General features: G+C 39.6%; 1 protein-coding gene across 8 annotated transcripts in view; it reads left to right on the top strand.

Moving 5' to 3' along the window:
• RNF24 (ring finger protein 24) overlaps nt 1-17,663 on the top strand; it is an 88,248-nt gene that overhangs the window by 8,317 nt on the left and 62,268 nt on the right. The window contains exon 2 of one of the 8 annotated variants that reach the window (XM_011529146.3): nt 17,387-17,657. The exons of 6 other annotated variants lie outside the window; for them this stretch is intronic. In XM_011529146.3, the coding sequence (XP_011527448.1) occupies nt 17,620-17,657 (38 nt within the window). In that variant the 5' untranslated portion in view covers nt 17,387-17,619. Of the gene's footprint in view, nt 1-9,063; nt 17,658-17,663 lie in introns of those variants that run through there. One more of the 8 variants, XM_047439866.1, reaches the window with a different exon arrangement.

Here is a 17,663-nt window from a genome sequence, read left to right as displayed (position 1 = left end):
TTATTCTCTTATTACTTGTCTTGGTTTTTACTTTGAAAGTTTGCTTAATAATCATGGGAATATTTTAGATTTTAAAATACAAAATATACAAGCTAAACTTGAGAGCAGTTTTTAGTTGTAGAAACTGTTTCTTGAAGTAATTGACTTAGCGTTTGCTCTGCCTCTTTCTTTTCTTACCTAGGTAGGTAGTGGGGACTCCTTCAATTATCTGAGCAATTCAAATCTCAGAATGTAGTGTTGGGTAAATTGAGGGTTCTAAAAGAATGCCAGATGGTTTGAAAGGAACTGTGAGCATTCCAACTAGTGCAGTCCTTTGAAAGCCAGCTGGCAGAGCCTCCTGTGCTTTGGAGGTAGGAACCAGACACTTTGTTCCATGCCAGCTGGCCCAAGAATAGCTGGCCAGTGGCCTTGCTTTTGGCTGGCCACTCTTGGGAAAGCTGGCCTGGGCCCTCCATGTGCCCTAAGGATAGTCTGATACCAGAGAGTTGCACTGGCCCTCCATAGTACCCCAGGGAGTTGGAGAAAGCCTGCAGTGGCAAGGGAAAGGAAACTGCTATTTAGATAATGTTACAAGTGAACCTCGTGTTACAAATTTGCTCTGGAAATTTAATGTAATTTGAATTTTTATGGATTCACTACTGTTAGGTGTATTAAAGTTGCAATGAACTGTAGTGAATGTTTTTATATTGTAAGTAACTTCCAGGTTACCTGCTTTTAAAGTTCCTGTTTTTATTTGTCAACTTTTCTTAAAGTGAGGTTTGCCCGTTCCTTTTGTTGTCATCTTCTAAAGTTTTGATCATTTGAATTAGGAAAATTTTTCCATCTTGTTGTAAAGCTTGCTCCTGTGTAAACCATAGACTTTTTTTTTTTTTTGAGACAGAGACTTGCTCTGTCACCCAGGCTGGAGTGCAGTGGTGCTCTTTCTGCTCACCGCAACCTCTGCCTCCTGGGTTCAAGCGATTCTTCTGCCTCAGCCTCCCAAGTAGCTAGGATTACAGGCATGCGCCACCACACTCAGCTAATTTTTGTATTTTTAGTAGAGACAGGGTTTCACCATGTTGGCCAGGCTGGTCTTGACCTCAGGTGTTCTACCCGCCTCAGCCTCCTAGAGTGCGGGGATTACAAATGTGAGCCACCACACCTAGCCATAAACCATAGATTCTATAGAAGGTTAATTATGTATGTAGTCTTAGCTTGTCTCTCATTTTGATGGTACTTATGTTTTCCCGATTAGACAGGTGCTTGTATCAGATACAGTTCTTCACTTCCTTTAGCAGATTTAATATCATAATTGTTTAATTGACAGCAAAATAAGTGCAAATATCATACTGTAAGAATAATGAGCATTCAGTTCATTTGATGACAGTGTTTATTGAATTCTCAAAATTAATAGTTTCACTGCTGTCTATCAGTATGCTTTATGTTGCCTTAATTTTTTTTTCAAATGTGCAGATTGAATGGTGCTGCAGTATCTGTTAAGTTTATTAAGTTCATCTTGGCAAACCAAAAAAAAATTATAGCTACCTGTATCTCTTTATTGTTCCTTCCCAAATCTGAGCATGTGAAATTATGCTCAGTGATATAAATTTGAAATAGAACCTAAATATTATATCTAAATAGTCTCTTTATCTTGGACTGAATGAAAAAAGTTGACAGATAATGAAACGTCAAATTATGAGTTAATGTAGTTTGTGGGAAATGGGTGGGAAGGGAAATCAAAGGTGTAGGCTTTCATTCATTTTCTTCAGCATGAAACAAGTTGCAAAACTTCTTCAGAAATGTGTTGGAAATCTCATGCATGGCTATAATTAAATAAAGGCTTTTACTCAAACTTGTCGATTATCTCTGTAAACAGGGCAGATGGAATTTTCGGCGTAGTAAGATTTTTTTTTTCTTAAATCACAGAACAGTATATCAATAGCCAGGGGCAATATTATACTCAGAAAATCATCTTTCATATTGGTTAACCTACACTAAAAAGCTTTTATGCCAGTAGCTTTAAATATATTGCCTATTTACTGCTTACAGCAATCCTCAAAGAGTTGTTTATGGATGACAAACTAAATGTCAAAGAAGTAACCTGTTCAGGTTTACAAGTTCAGGGTCCAGTTTTGAACCTAGGCCTTCATCCTCTAGAGCCCACCACCTGTCACAGTGGATGTTATCAACTTTTCACAAGAATACAGTCTCTTTACTATTCAGATGTTATCCTGTACTGGCACCTCTGGAGGGCTATTGATAATGGAAGTGCAGAGATCTTTGCAGATAATAGCAGGAGAATAAGAAGAGATTTGGGGTAGGGGGCAGAATCTATATTTTTTAAATCTCTTCTGATGCTCCTGCAGAGCTACTGCAGTAAATAAAAATGACTTGTCAGAATCAGATGGAGCAAAGGGGGTTTATTAGTTTCTTAACATTGCTGTAACACAATTACTATAAACTTCGTGGCTTTAAACAACAGAAAGTTGTTCTTTCACAGTTCTGGAGGTAGAAGTCCAAAATCAAGGTGTCAGCAGGGTTGCTGTGCTCCCTCCAAAGACTCTAGAGGGGAATCCTTCCTTGCCTCCTCCAGGTTTTGGTGATTCCACACATTCTAGTCTCTGCTTCTGTCTTCATATGGTCTTCTCTTTCTCTCTTATAAAGACACTTGCCATTGGATCTAGAATCCATTCAGATAATCCAAAATGCTCTCATCTCCAGATCCTTAAATTATATCTGCAAAGACCCTTTTTTTTTTCTTAAATAAAGTCGGTTCAAATAAAGTCACATTCACCGATTCCTTGTGTTAAGAAATGGACATATCTTTTTGAGGGCCACCATTCAATCCACTCAAGAGAGTAAGATTTTTCCTTGGTAATAATTTTTACTTTGACTACTGTCTCACACAGAATCCGAGATTAGACAAGTATTCAGCAGACCATGATACAAAGTGTGGAAAAATATTGGAAGATAGAAAGACAGAAGATTGAAGTTCAGGGGAAGGTTTATGGGGTCAAGGCAGGTTTCATGGAAGTTGTATTGCTTGAGGTACATTATGAAGGATGGACAGAATTTTATGAGATAGTTGGGGATAGCCTGGGATGTGCAGATAGTGGAAGTATCAAGAAAAAAGATAGGGAGTCATCTTCAGGAACGATAACTAATGCATTTGACTAAAGTCTGGTATTTAGAGAAATAGTGGAGAATGAGGATGAAAAGTCCGGGCCAATTCATGGGAGGCCTTTAGTGTTGAGCTGATGAATTTGTACTTGGTTTAGAGTTGCTTATCCATAAGAATGCTATATTATAAGAGTTTCTGGCCAGGCGTGGTGGCTCACGCCTGTAATCCCAACACTTTGGAAGGCCGAGGTGGGGTAGATCACTTGAGGTCAGGAGTTTGAGACCAGCCTGTCCAACATGGCGAAACCCTGACTCTACTAAAAATTACAAAAATTAGCCAGGTGTGGTGGCACATGCCTGTAATCCCAGCTACTTGGGAGGCTGAGTCAGGAGAATCTCTTGAACTCAGGAGGCAGAGGTTGCAGTGAGCCGAGATCACGCCATTGCACTCCATCCTGGGCAATAGAGTGAGACTCTGTCTCAAAAAAAAAAAAAAAAAAAAAAAAAAAGGAGTTTCTAACATGGGCCTTCAAAACAATGATAAAACCCTTTGAAAGAAATATGTAGATTTTCTTTCAAAATAGATTTTCAGAGGGTTCCATAACCCTAAGAAAAAGTTAAGAACTACTGCTCTATTAGAAATGAAATGTTTTATGCTTTGAAGATGTTTCTGGAAAACTATTGATTTTCTGTTCTGTTTACTTTGAATTGCTTGGAAGATAATTTGAAAATTGACCTCCAAAGAAACTTAGTCAGCGCTGTGTGTGGAATATATTGTAAATGTTGCATATTAAAAGTTAAAATACTATTTCAGAAGGGATGTGAAGGAGGCCCTGGATTCTTAGAAAATGATTACACAAAAAGAAAAATTCTGGGCCGGGCGTGGTGGTTCACGCCTGTAATCCCAGCACTTTGGTAGGCCGAGGTGGGTAGATCACGAGATCAGGAGTTCAAGACCAGCCTGTCCCAGATGGTGAAACCCTGTCTCTACAAAAATACAAAAAAATTAGCCGGGCGCCGTGGCAGGCGCCTATAATCCCAGCTACTCAGAAGGCTGAGGCAGGAGAATCACTTGAACCCGGGCGGCAGAGGTTGCAGTGTTCTGAGATCGCGCCACTGCACCCCAGCTTGGGTGACAGAGTGAGACTGTCTCAGAAAAGAAAAAAGAAAAGAAAAAGAAAAATTCAAAGCATTCAGTTCAGAATGCAGCTGTGACTTCTGTTTTCTGTGTCTTCATTTTCTCTATTTCAATTCACTACCACCATCCATTTAGAACACCAGAATTATATAAAAGCGTGACACAGTTCTAAGGGGAGTAAATGGACAGCTGCATTCCTAAAGTTTTTTTTAAAAATGTATTATATAAAAACTGTATTTTATCTACTGTTGATTTCCAGTGAAATAACCTACTTCAGGAAACTATATTATATAGCTGTCTGGTCATATCTGAGGAAAAAATGATATTTTCCATATAATTTATTCTGTTTCTAAATAATCAACTGCCATGACTTTTTTCATTGATCCTTTTGTTTTCTACCTGAGATTAATATTACTTAATAGACTTACCTACACTATTTTTTCAGACTTTTCTGCTAGTGAGGTTCTTCTTTTAAATTTTTTTATTATGGCCCTGTGCCTATCAGTGGGATTCAACAATTAACAAGGTTTTGCCACATTTGTTTCATTTATCCTTTATCTTTTACCTTTCTTTGCTGAGGTTTTGTTTTGTTTTGTTTTTTTGTTTTTTGTTTGTTTTTGAGACGGAGTCTTGCTCTGTTGCCCAGGCTGGAGTGCAGTGGCACCATCTTGGCTCACTGCAAGCTCCGCCTCCTGGGTTCACGCCATTCTCCTGCCTCAGCCTCCAGAGTAGCTGGGACTACAGGCGCCCACCACCACGCCGGGCTAATTTTTTTATATTTTTAGTAGAGACGGGGTTTCACTGTGTTAGCCAAGATGGTCTCGATCTCCTGACCTCGTGATCCACCCACCTCGGCCTCCCAAAGTGCTGGGATTACAGGCATGAGCCACCACGCCCGGCTAATTTTTGTATTTTTGGTAGAGATGGGGTTTCATGATGTGGCCCAGGCTAGTCTCGATCTCCTGACCTCCTGATCTGCCTGCCTCGGCCTCCCAAAGTGGTGGGATTATGGGTGTCAGCCACCGCGCCCGGCCCTGTTTTTTTTTGTTTGTTTTTTTAAGAGGCAGGGTCTCACTGTCGCCCAGGCTAGAGTGCAGTGGTGCAATCTTAGCTTACCACAGCCTCAACTTCCAGGCTCAAGCAATCTCTCCACCTCAGCCTTCTGAGTAGCTGGGACTACAGGCACATGTCACCATGCCCAGCTGTTTATTTATTAATTTTTTTTAAGTTTTATAGAGATGAGGTCTTACTCTCTTGCCTAGGCTGGTCTTGAACTCCTAGGTTCAAGCGATCCTTCCACCTTGGCCTGCCAAAGTGCTGGGCTACGGGCGTGATTCACCATGCTGGCCTGAAACTTTGTTCTTTGGTGACCACAAATCTTACACATTCTGCTTTCTTTCCTCTACCAGAAATAAGGGTGATTTTTGTCTTTTAAGTAATATTTCAATTATTTCATCCAATATGTGTTTTGGATTTACAATCTTACCTTTATTCATATCAATAACTATTTTATGTGCCTCATATTCAGCCTGAATTTACAGAAAGCTACATTTGTGGTAAGAAGCACTTGATGAATAACCCCACTACATTTTATTGTTTTAGTTCACTTCTGAGTTTATTAGATCTGATATCATTTTAATATTTTTTCAGGCATTTTACATATGATCTGACTTAAAAGTTCCTGTAATTTGAAAAAAACTGGCTCTTCATGAGGTTTTTTGTTTGTTTGTTTGTTTTTGAGATGGAGTCTCACTCTGTCACCTGGGCTGGAGTGCAGTGGCATGATCTCAGCTCGCTGCAACCTCTGCCTCCCGGGTTCAAGCAATTATCCTGCCTCAGACTCCCAAGTAGCTGGGACTACAGGTGCACGCCACCACGCCCGGCTAATTTTTTGTATTTTAGTAGAGACAGGGTTTCACTGTGTTGCCCAGGCTGGTCTCGAACTCCTGAGCTCAGGTAACCTGCCTGCCTCGGCCTCCCAAAGTGCTAGGATTACAGGCATGAGCCACTGCGCCTGGCCACATATATTTTTGCATAGTAAGTTCCAAGTAAATTTCCATAAAGGTAAAAAAGAAGCAGGGTGATATACAGAAAAGCGTGTGGGATTCAAGTAAGTTTTGACCCTATTATTTGTTACCTATTTGGCCTTGGTGAATCACTATTTAGCCTCAAAATGGGGATAATTATCATTGAATATTCCAGTTATTGTGAGTGTAGTTTATCTCCTTAGCTCTCCTAATGATTATTGTTATTAAGCAAGGAATAACAACAAACAATTTTTGCTACATCTCAGTTCCCCTCTTTTTATAAATATGAGTTCAGTTATGCAGCCAGCTTAGCCTGGCTGCTGAACTGTGGCTGGTCAGAAGTTCCATTTCGGTGGATGTCAGATGATGTAAAAATTGTAACTGCCTAACTGTACTACATAGTTCTTAACTTTTAAGGAGATTATATATGCATTAATATAATTTTTTTTTTTGAGACAGAGTTTCACTCTTGTTGCCCAGGCTGGAGTGCAATGGCTTCATCTCAGCTCACTGCAGCCTCCACCTCCCAGGTTCAAGCAATTTTCCTGCCTCAGCCTCCCAAGTAGCTGGGATTACAGGCATGCGCCACCACACCTGGCTAATTTTTTGTATCTTTAGTAGAGACAGGGTTTCACCATGTTGGCCAGGCTGGTTTCAAACTCCTGACCTCAGGTGACCCACCCACCTCGGCCTCCCAAAGTGCTGGGATCACAGGCTTGAGCCACCACATCTGGCCATTAAAATACCGTTTTTGATGATTGTTTTAGGCAATTCTCTTTTGCCTTTTTTTAACAGCTTTATTGAGACATAATTTATATCCCATATAGTTTGCTCAAAGTGTACAATTCAGTGGCTTTTAGAATATTAGAGTTTTCTGTCTATCACCACAATCAATTTTAGAACATTTTAGTTATCATTATTCCAAAAAGAATGGCCTTCGCTCCTCAGTCCCCTCATTCTCCCCGCTCCTCCCCCTTCCCTTGCTCTAAGCAACTACCAATCTACTTTCTATTTCTATAGATTTGCTTATTCTGGGCCTCTTATATAAATAGGATTTTAAAAATGTATCCTTTATGACTGGCTTTTTTCACTTAATATGATGTTTTCAAGGTTCATCCATGTTCTTTTTTATCTTAAGGCTCTTAGAGATATACTGACTTATCCTGAAGGAAGAAAAGATGAAGTGACTTTTTTTGTTTGTTTGTTTGTTTTGTTTTGTTTTGAGACAGAGTTTCGCCTCTCGTTGCCCATGCAGGAGTACAATGGCATGATCTCGGCTCACTGCAACCTCCGCCTCCTGGGTTCAAGTGATTCTCCTGCCTCAGCCTCCTGAGTAGCTGGGATTACAGGCATGCGCCACCACGCCCAGCTAATTTTGTATTTTTGGTAGAGATGGGGTTTCTCCATGTTGGCCATGCTGGTCTCAAACTCCTGACCTCAGCTGATCCGCCCGCCTCGGCCTCCCAATGTGCTGGAATTACAGGCGTGAGCCACTGCACCCGGCCGTGACTTTTTTTAAACAAAGAAAATTGACTAGTGTTTCATGAGTCTTCAGTCACAAATGACGAGAAAAGCCCTATAAACGGTTACTGTAGCTATAGACCTAAGAATGGTGTTCTAGTGTAGAATGTGGAAAAGATTCATGTCCCATCATTCCTTTTAGCTGCATTTGTATATATGAATAATGTCATGGTTGTTAGTGAATCTTTCAGTACAAAGGATAATAATGTGCAACTCTATAGGACTGTTGTAACTAAAACTGTTGCAACACTCTCACTTTTATTTGCTGTTCTCTTGTAACTAATTTTCCAGCTGACTATCCTGCATAACTCAGACATTCTTATATGATATCTATGGTTACATGCTACATTTTTGTTTTTTGTTTTGTTTTGTTTTTTGAGACAGAGTCTTGCTCTGTCACCCAGGCCTGAGTGCAGTGGCCTGATCTTGGCTCACTGCAACCCCCACCTTGCGGGTTCAAACGGTTCTTCTGCCTCAGCCTCCTGAGTAGCTGGGGTTACAGGTGCACACCACCACGCCCGGCTAATTTTTGTATTTTTAGTAGAGATGGGGTTTTGCCATGATGACCATGCTGGTCTTGACCTCCTGACCTCAGATGATCCACCCGCCTTGACCCCCAAAGTCCTGGGATTACAGGTGTGAGCCACCACACCCAGTCACGTGTTACATTATTTATTTTTTTTAATTTAATTTTATTTTTTGAGACGGAATCTCGCTCTGTCACCCAGGCTAGAGTACAATGGCGTGATCTTGGCTCACTGCAACCACCGCCTCCTGGGTTCAAGCAATTCTCCTGCCTTAGACTCCTGAGTAGCTGGGATTACAGGCACACGCCACCACGCCCGGCTAATTTTTTTTTTTTTTTTTTTTTTTTTTTTTTTTGAGATAGAGTCTCGCTCTGTTGCCCAGGCTGGCGTGCAGTGTTGCAATCTCGGCTCACTGCAACCTCCACCTCTCGGGTTCAAGTGATTCTCCAGCCTCAGCCTCCCAAGTAGCTGGGACTACGGGCATGTCCCACCATGCCTGGCTAATTTTTGTATTTTTAGTAGAGACGGGGTTTCACCATACTGGTCAGGCTGGTCTCAAACTCGTGACCTCAGGTGATCCACCCACCTTGGCCTCCCAAAGTGCTGGGATTACAGGCGTGAGCCACAACGCCCAGCCTAATTTTTGTATTTTTAGTAGAGACGGGGTTTCACCTTGTTGGTCAGGTTGCTCTCGAACTCCTGACCTTGTGATCCGCCCGCCTTGGCCTCCCAAAGTGCTGGGATTACAAGCCTGAGCCACCACGCCTGGCCACATTTTTTATTCTTATGTGAGCTTGATGGGCTGAATGCTAAGTATTTTATTTCAGGATAACCAATTATTGCATATTAGTATAAATGAGCTGTTGGGGACAGGATACTTAGAAGTGCAACCCTTAGAGCATATTCCCCCTCAAATTTTTGGATGTAGTTTGAAAAATAAAAGCCAGCCTTTTAGCTTTGAAAACCCAGCGTCTGTGTGCCTCAATCTCTTCCTCTGAAAAGTGGGGCATTTGGACTGCGATACTTAATTAGTGCTGAATGTAGTTCTGTGAAAATAATTGGCAAATGTATTGCCGATGGTCCCCATTATTTCTTACATCATATCAAAAAGATTACATTGTAATGTTAGATTTCCTGTATTCTAATTAGTTGCCTAATGTAGTGTCATAAGTATCTATAGTCTTAGCAAAAGCCATATTTTTCTGTCCAGGTGCAGTGGCTTACATCCGTAGCCCCAACACTTTGGGATGCCAAAGCAGGAAGATCACTTGAGCCCAGGGGTTTGAGAGCAGCCTGGGAAACATAGGGAAACCCCATCTGTGGAAAAAAAAAATAATTAGCTGGGCGTGGTAGCACATGTCTGTGGTTCGAGCTACTCTGGAGGCTGAAGAGGGAGGATTGTCTGGGCATGGGAGTTTGAGGCGACAGTGAGCCATGATCACACCATTGCACTCCAACCTGGGCAACAGAACAAGACCCTGCCTCAAAAAAAAAAAAAATCCTGTATTTTTCTGACCTAGAATTAGAATCCATGATCTGTTATTCTAAATGGTCTGTGAATACAAAATAATTTAAAATAGTACTGACCTACCTAGAACATCAGTATATTGGAAGGTTTCAGCTGTGAGTGACAGAAAACCTGAAACAAGTGGCTTAAAATAAGATTAAAATGTATTTCTTTTTTTTTTTTTTTTTTTTTTGAGATGGAGTCTTGCTCTGTCGGTTGCCCAGGCTGGAGTGCAGTGGCGCGATCTCGGCTCACTGCAACCTCTGCCACCTGGGTTCAAGCAACTCTCCTGCCTCAGCCTCCCGAGTAGCTGGGACTACAGGCACCCACCACCACGCCTGGCTAATTTTTGTATTTTTTTTTTTAGTAGAGAATGGGGTTTCACCGTGTTAGCCAGGATGGTCTCGATCCCCTGACCTCGTGATCCGCCTGCCTCGGCCTCTCAAAGTGCTGGGATTACAGGCGTGAGCCACCACGCCCAGCCTAAAATGTATTTCTTATTCATGTAAAAGTTGGTACAGATCTGGAATGGAGCTTCATGGCATCAGGGACATTTTACCACTTACTCCTAGTTCTCTCTTACCACTCTGCCCTCCTCTTGGGTGTAAACCTCATTTTTATTGAGGAAAATGGTAGCACCTATTGCAGGTACAGGATGGAGAAAGGGATGAAGCAGAAGATAGAAGGCACCTGTCAGTATTCTGTTAAGCATGATTCCCAGACAACTTCATGTGCATCAGTTACATTGGCCAGAACTGAGACATATGGCCGTGCACAGCTGCAAGGAAGGCTAGGAAGTGTAGTCACATGCCCAACCAAAAATTCTAATTAAGTGGAAGAAAGGGAGAACAGATATTGAGGGTGGGGTAGGACAGAAAACCATCAGTCTCTGATACAGACTCATTAATGATAAACAAAAGGAAAACCAAAGAGCAGCTACCATTCTCTAGCTTCCTCTAGAGAAGGAGGCTTCTGTTTCTCGTAGCCGATACTGATTCTCTAAATGGAAATGTCCATTCGGAGAATATACTAATATACAAGATCCGATCTCTACAAAATATATATATTTTAAAAAGAATATGTCATTCTCTTTTCTGTAATTGTGTTAGTGCAGAGAATCTTCCAAAAGAAACCTGCTAAATATATTTTCTGGTTTGAATTTTGGAGTTGATATTATGGTTTATGAGCCAACCTCTTGTGAGTTTGGTTAAGTGTAAATTTTTCCAGTGAGTCTGTGAGCCCCTGGGGAAAATGATGAAGTAGAGAATAGACCCAACTCTTGACGTACTGTGACCTTACTGGGAGCATATATCTTGTACAGCTTCATATGACCTGAGGCACTCATCATTCATTCCTGATCTTGAAGGAAGAGAAAAATTACAAACTTGTATAGTCTTCAATATATCCATCTATAAAACCAGAATAATAGCGCTTTGTGTGATGAAGATTAGTAGTAGTCTTGTAAAACATTTTTATAAAGGAAAGAGAGCTTTCAGGGCTAATGAAATTGCAAGTCTTGATTCTTTAAGACTCATTTAGAGGATTATTCACTGTTCTGAAATGATTGTGATTTTTCAGCATTTTTGAAAAAAAAAAGCAGAACCAAATTCACCCCCCAAATATTGAAATAACATTTGATCTGCCCCATCGTCTCAGTTGTTCCATTGGCTGCCTAAAATCATTTTAAAGATGAAGTCTTCACATATCTTTCTTAAAAGAACGAGGTGATCCTAGTAAACAAAGGGGAGACTTCCAGGCAGTGCTTAGGACTGTAATTTTTAGAAATGCAAGGTAATTATCACCAGTGTCAAACTACCAGGCAGCCTGCACACTTTGCTGATTCATAACCATTTGAAGAATGCTGAATTAGTCATGAACATCTTAGATGCTGTTTTGTGGCTGTAGAATTTTCCTTCTACAAAATTTAGATCTAAAAACAGATAGGGTTTTAATTTATACAGGTTGGCTATCTGGAAATTGTTGTTGAAGAAATGTGGCTAAACTAATGTCTGTTTCTCAGTATTCTGTACCCTGCCCCTGTCACTTCAGAAAGGAGTCCACTTGTGGTTCAGGCTCAAAGATGTAGATCTAACCCAGAGTGGCCCAGGGAGATGTGGCTCAGGCCCAAATGATTCCTAACCCCAATGCCAGCCTCACACCAGAGAACAAAAAGAGACCTGATGGGAATGATGAGCACTCACTATATGCCAGGCACACCCCAGAGGTGGATGTGGGTAACTCTCCCTATATTATAGATGGGACATTGAGACTTGCCTACAAGTCCCCGTGGTGGGGCGTGGCTAAACTCAACTCTGTAAGGTTACTGCCTCTGCTATGCCATCTTTCATGGAACCCACTTAGTGCCATGCAGCTTTCTCTAATTTGCTCTCAGTTCCTGGCTATGAATTGCTAAACTATCAGTGACATTGTTTTCTCTCACTTTTAAGGCTGTACAATGAAAGAATCTTCCATTTTTCATTTGTTAGCTTGTTGCTGTTTTACCACTCTAGAAGTGCTTGTGGTTTACTAAACTTCTTTATTTCACTTTTAGTACGTGCAGTTTATGCATTCTAGTCTTTTGTCTTCAGGGATTCTAAACTCCTGTAGGAATTCTAATACCTTTTTGGGTAACTAAGAATTCACCATTAAAGTCCTGGAATTAATGTGTTCAATCTAGAATCCTCAAGAATAAGAAGTGAGCTGTCGAGGTTTATAGAGAACCCTGTTGACACTTCTCCCAGAGTAGCTTCAACAGGGTCCAAAGACTCGTCACCTTTCCCAGGGGTTTGGTTTTGAATTAGGATCACTGACAGTTCAGCAACTTTATGCTACCAATTAGAAAAGGAGATCACTATGTAGAGAAAATTTAGTGCCTTCTAATCACCTTTGTATACTTGAATTTAGTTATTAATTTACCCTGTCTGTAGAATGAACAAACTCAACTCCTTTAATTTAAAACAAATGAAATAACTCTTTAATGACTGCTCCATTAAACAGAGTTGTATTGATTTCTATCTGTTATACTCCAGAGGTAGGTGTTTTAACCCTGTGCTTTTCCGGGGAGTTATAACTGACTGTTGATGGACAGGTGTCACAAATACAACTGATACATTCAGATTGTCACAGCCAATTCCTACCTTTATTTAAAGAGTGATTTTCTTTTTTCTATCTTTAGGGCCACTCTGGCTCTTTATTTCAGGATGTTTTCTTGATTATCTCATAGACCTAGCAATTCCCAAAGGAGGTTTGTAATATTCAATACTGTTTCGAGAAGTGCCATGACATTTTCAGAATAAAATGAACATTGATTAATTTTAATTTAAAAGACACAGTTCTTTGTCACAGATTGGAGGAGACTAAAGAGATACAATTAATGCAATGTGGGATCCTAGAACAGAAAAAGAATATTAGTGGGAAAGCTGGTGAAAATTGCATAAAGTCTGTATTTTAGTTAATAGGATTATATCTGTTGATTTCCTGTCTTTCTGCTATCCTTAGGTAAGATTTTAACATTTGGGGAAGTTAGGCGAAGGGTATTTGGGAACTCTTGCAACTTTTCTATAAATCGAAAATTATTTCAAAATAAAAAGTTTAAAAATATATACCTTGTTGCCAGTTATTTAGAAATTATGGTGTGGGCCTTTCTGGAGGCCCTCTAAGGCAGTGAAGATGATCCAAGATGCATCAGCATACTAACTGCCCACAGGAACCAACCACGGAAATTGTTTTTACTTGTGTATCCATTCTAACCCTACCAGTGCAGTCCAGGCTTATCAAGGTCCATGGAAGGCAGCAGGTTCTCATGGGAAGAGTAAGAGGTTTGATTTCAGATATGTGGCCAGGAGTGGTGGCTCACGCCTGTAATCCCAGCACTTTGGGAGGCTGAAGTGGGCAGATCACTTGAGGTCAGGAGTTTGAGACCAGCCTGGCCAACATGGTGAAACCCTGTCTCTACTAAAAATACAAAACTTAGCTGGGTGTGGTGACGGGCTCCTGTAATCCAGCTACTCGGGAGGCTGAGGCAGGAAAATCACTTGAATGTGGGAGGTGGAGGTTGCAGTGAGCTGAGATCGGGCCACTGTACTCCAGCCTGGGTAGTAGAGTGAGACTCTGCCTCAAAAAAAAAAAGATGTGAGTTTTCAGTTTCTTCTACCACTCACTAGTGGTTTCAGTTTGGGCAGCTAGCCTGACTTTTCTGAGTCTCAGTTTTTCATCTGAATACTGGGGAGCATAATATCTATCCCATAGTGATTATAAGGATTAAATAATATGTATACAACCTAGTCACAAACTCTAAAGCACAATGTAAAATGTTCATTTTGATTAATATCCAAATTAATCACTTGGAAAAAAAAGGTTCTCCAGTTTCAGGGATTATACATCAGGCTAACTCTTTTTAGGTAATTTTTCCTAGATTAATTGTATTGCTACATTGGATGTAATCAAAATCCATAGATGATATATTTAAAATTGTGCTTATAACATTTTTATTATTAACAATCCATTTGAACCTAAACCAATATGACAAAGAAACAAAGTAGTAAGCTGAACACTGTAGTCTATTTAATACAAAGATTTACTTGCATATTATTTTGACTTATTTAAGCCAATGTCTAGCCTTTTTGCTTTGGAAATTATGACACTAGGAAGAGAATTTCAAATATGAAAATCCCAAATCTGTCAGTTTCCATGAAATTTAAAGCCAAAGTCATTAATGGAATCCATGGAGCTATTTTCAAGGGAGACCCTAGAGAGATACAATGTCCAGTCTACCAATTGTACGAGACTTACAACCTTGTAGTTTGTTTGCAGAAGTAAATTATTCTATAACTAATTGAAAACAAGGAGCTTATTCAAAATACTGAAGTGTACAAATGAACAACAGCAAAAAAAAAAAAGACAAAATACTGAAGTGCTACCAGGTACCTGTGATGAAATTTTATATTTCTTGTTTTACATCCAAGTTTGTAATCTGTGTTACAAACTTACATCTAAAGTTTATTCTAAGTCCGTATTTCATGTGGCTTCATGCTCTGATTCTGCCTGGTAAAGTGCTGCAGTGTGGTTTCAACCAGATTGTAATTATTATTCTTCCTGTATGTTGATATAACTGCTTTACTAAAGTAGCCTCACATAGCTCAATCAGAGTTTTCTCCAAAAATGTCAGTCTAATGCCAAAACCAAAAGAGATCAAAGACATGGAAGATTTCCTAGTGAAGTCAGAGCTGCTCATCAGTAGTGCTTACCTTTGAATAAAGAGAAATACTTTAAAAAGCCAACTGTTATTGAGTGGGTAAAGTAATGAGTAAGATCTCTGTTATCCTCAAGGAGTATTGTATTGCTACACTGGATGTAATCAATGTAGTATTAGAGGATTACAATCAATGTAATTCTGCGCTCAAGGAGTACATTTTCCAACTCAGTAAAAAGTAGTGTATTAGCAAGTATAGATGGAAATTCCGTGTGTGTGTGTGTGTGTGTGCGTGTGTGTGTGTATATAGCCACACATATTCTATTCATGAAACGGCAATCTCATTAGATTAAGACAATAATGTGCATTATTCATGTTATTTTACTGTCATTCGAGAGATATTAGACAACTGAGAAGAAACAATTTATATATAATTATAAATGTATAATTAAAATGATCATTAAATGATTACCTTATCTAAGCAAATGCTGATTTAAGACAGATAGCTATAGGATATTTGTGAAGTATCTAATTATCCTTGTGATAATTTTTCCTCACTACATTTATCCAGAAAAAGCCAGGATTTTCAACTAAGTCTTTTAAATAAGAATCAAGGTTTTTAAATTTCTGTGAATCTTTACAAACAACTGGGACAATTTTCTTTAAAAATAGCTTCTTAAGGCATGGAGCAGTGGCTCACGCCTGTAATCCCTGTACTTTGGGAGACTTAGGCAGGCGGATCATGAGGTTAGGAGATCGAGACCATCCTGGCTAACACGGTGAAATCCTATCTCTACTAAAAATACAAAAAATTAGCTGGGCATGGTGGCACATGCCTGTAGTCCCAAGCTGCTTGGGAAGCTGAGGCAGGAGAATCACTTGAACCAGGTAGGCGGAGGTTGCAGTAAGCCAAGATGGCACCACTGCATTCCAGCCTGGGCGGCAGAGCGAGACTCCATCTCAAAAAAAAAAAAAAAAAAAAAAGTTGTTTAAAAAATAAATAAAAATAAAAATAGCTTCTTCCAATTCCATTTACAATTAAATTTTTTATTCTCTTTAATAGGTAACATTAACATATCCTAGCAGCAAAATACTAAAGATATTATAAACAGGTATTCAGTGAAGTCATTCTCCTTCCAGCCCTGTCAGAGGCTCAATCACTGATACCAGTTTTTTATATATTTTTCTAGAGACCTTTTTAGACAAATACAAAGCTAGCTTCTCTTTTCTTTTTATATCAGAGGTGATATGCCACATGCACTGTCCTGTGTGTTGTTTTTTTGTTTTGTTTTGTTTTTTACTTAGCAATGTTATCATGGAACTGTGCCAAATCTACATTTTTTTTTTTAATTTTTAGAGACAGGATCTTGCTCTGTCATCTTGGCTGGGATGCAGTGATGTGATCATAGCTTGCTGTAGTCTCGAACCTTGGGTCACAGATGATCCTCTAACCTCAGCCTCCTGAGTAGCTAGGACTAAAAGCATGTGCCACCATGCCCAGCTAATTAAAAAATATATATATGTGTGTGTGTATATATATATTATTTTTTTAACTGTGTTGGCCCAGGCTGGTCTCTAACTCCTGGCCTTAAGCAGTCCTCCCACCTTGGCCTCCCAAAGTGCTGGGATTACAGGTGTGAGCCACCATGACTGACCTGGTATCATTCTTTAACAACTGTAAAACATTAGATTGTGATGATATTCTATGACTTAACCAATTACATATTTAGGTTGCTTCCAACCTTTTGCTTTTATAAACAAGTTTGTGTGAAGAGCCTGGTACAAATGTGTCTTTGAGTATGCATGCAAGTACATCTGAAAGATAAATTCCTAAATGTGGAATTGCTGGGTCAATAGGTAAGTGCATGTATAATTTTGCTGAGTTGCTCTTGTGGAAGCCAATAATTCTACTCACAATTCCACTGATAATGTGTGAGAGTACTTTTTTCCCCCAAGCAGAAAGTTTCTGTGGATTTTTTTTGGGGGTGTTTCTGAGTTTTACTTAGAAAGGCCTTCCCCATTTTGAGATTATTTTTAAAATTCTTTGATATATTTTAATATTTTCATAATTTCATTTTTTATATTTAAACCTTAGGTACAGCTCAGATATATTTTAATACAAAGAATAAGGCTATCTTAATTTTTTTTCTCAACTGGCTACCTAATTGTCCCAATATCATTTGTGAATAATCCATCTCTCTCTCTTTCTCTCTAATGGGAAATGTCAGCTTTATGATTCCTATATTAATTTGGGCTATTCTTTAACTTTCTTGTATCTGCCAGCGTAGGCTAGGTTATGTTGTGGTAACAAACAACCTCAAAATCTTAATGGCTTATAACAAGAATTTTCCTTCCTTTTGGTACATGTTCATCAAGAGTTGGCTGAGAGCTCTACTCCGTGTCTTCTCACTCAGAAACTAATGGAGTTGCCACCATCTTGAACATTACCAGCTTTCCTGACTAAGGGAAAGAGGGGCCTGGAGACTCTCACACCATCAGTAAAATGTTCAGCCTGAAAGAGATATACATCAGTTCCCTTCACAGCTCGCTGACAAGTTTTAGTCACATGACTCTACCCACAACAAAACAGCAGGAAAATACAGTCATACATGTGTGCAGAAGGAAGATGGAAAGCTGAAAATATTTGGTAAAC

This window comes from Homo sapiens, chromosome 20, assembly GCF_000001405.40.
Source record: "Homo sapiens chromosome 20, GRCh38.p14 Primary Assembly".
NCBI lineage: Eukaryota > Metazoa > Chordata > Mammalia > Primates > Hominidae > Homo > Homo sapiens.
The sequence above is the reverse complement of the archived record's forward strand: the minus strand, read 5'-3'. Positions and strand labels throughout refer to the sequence as shown.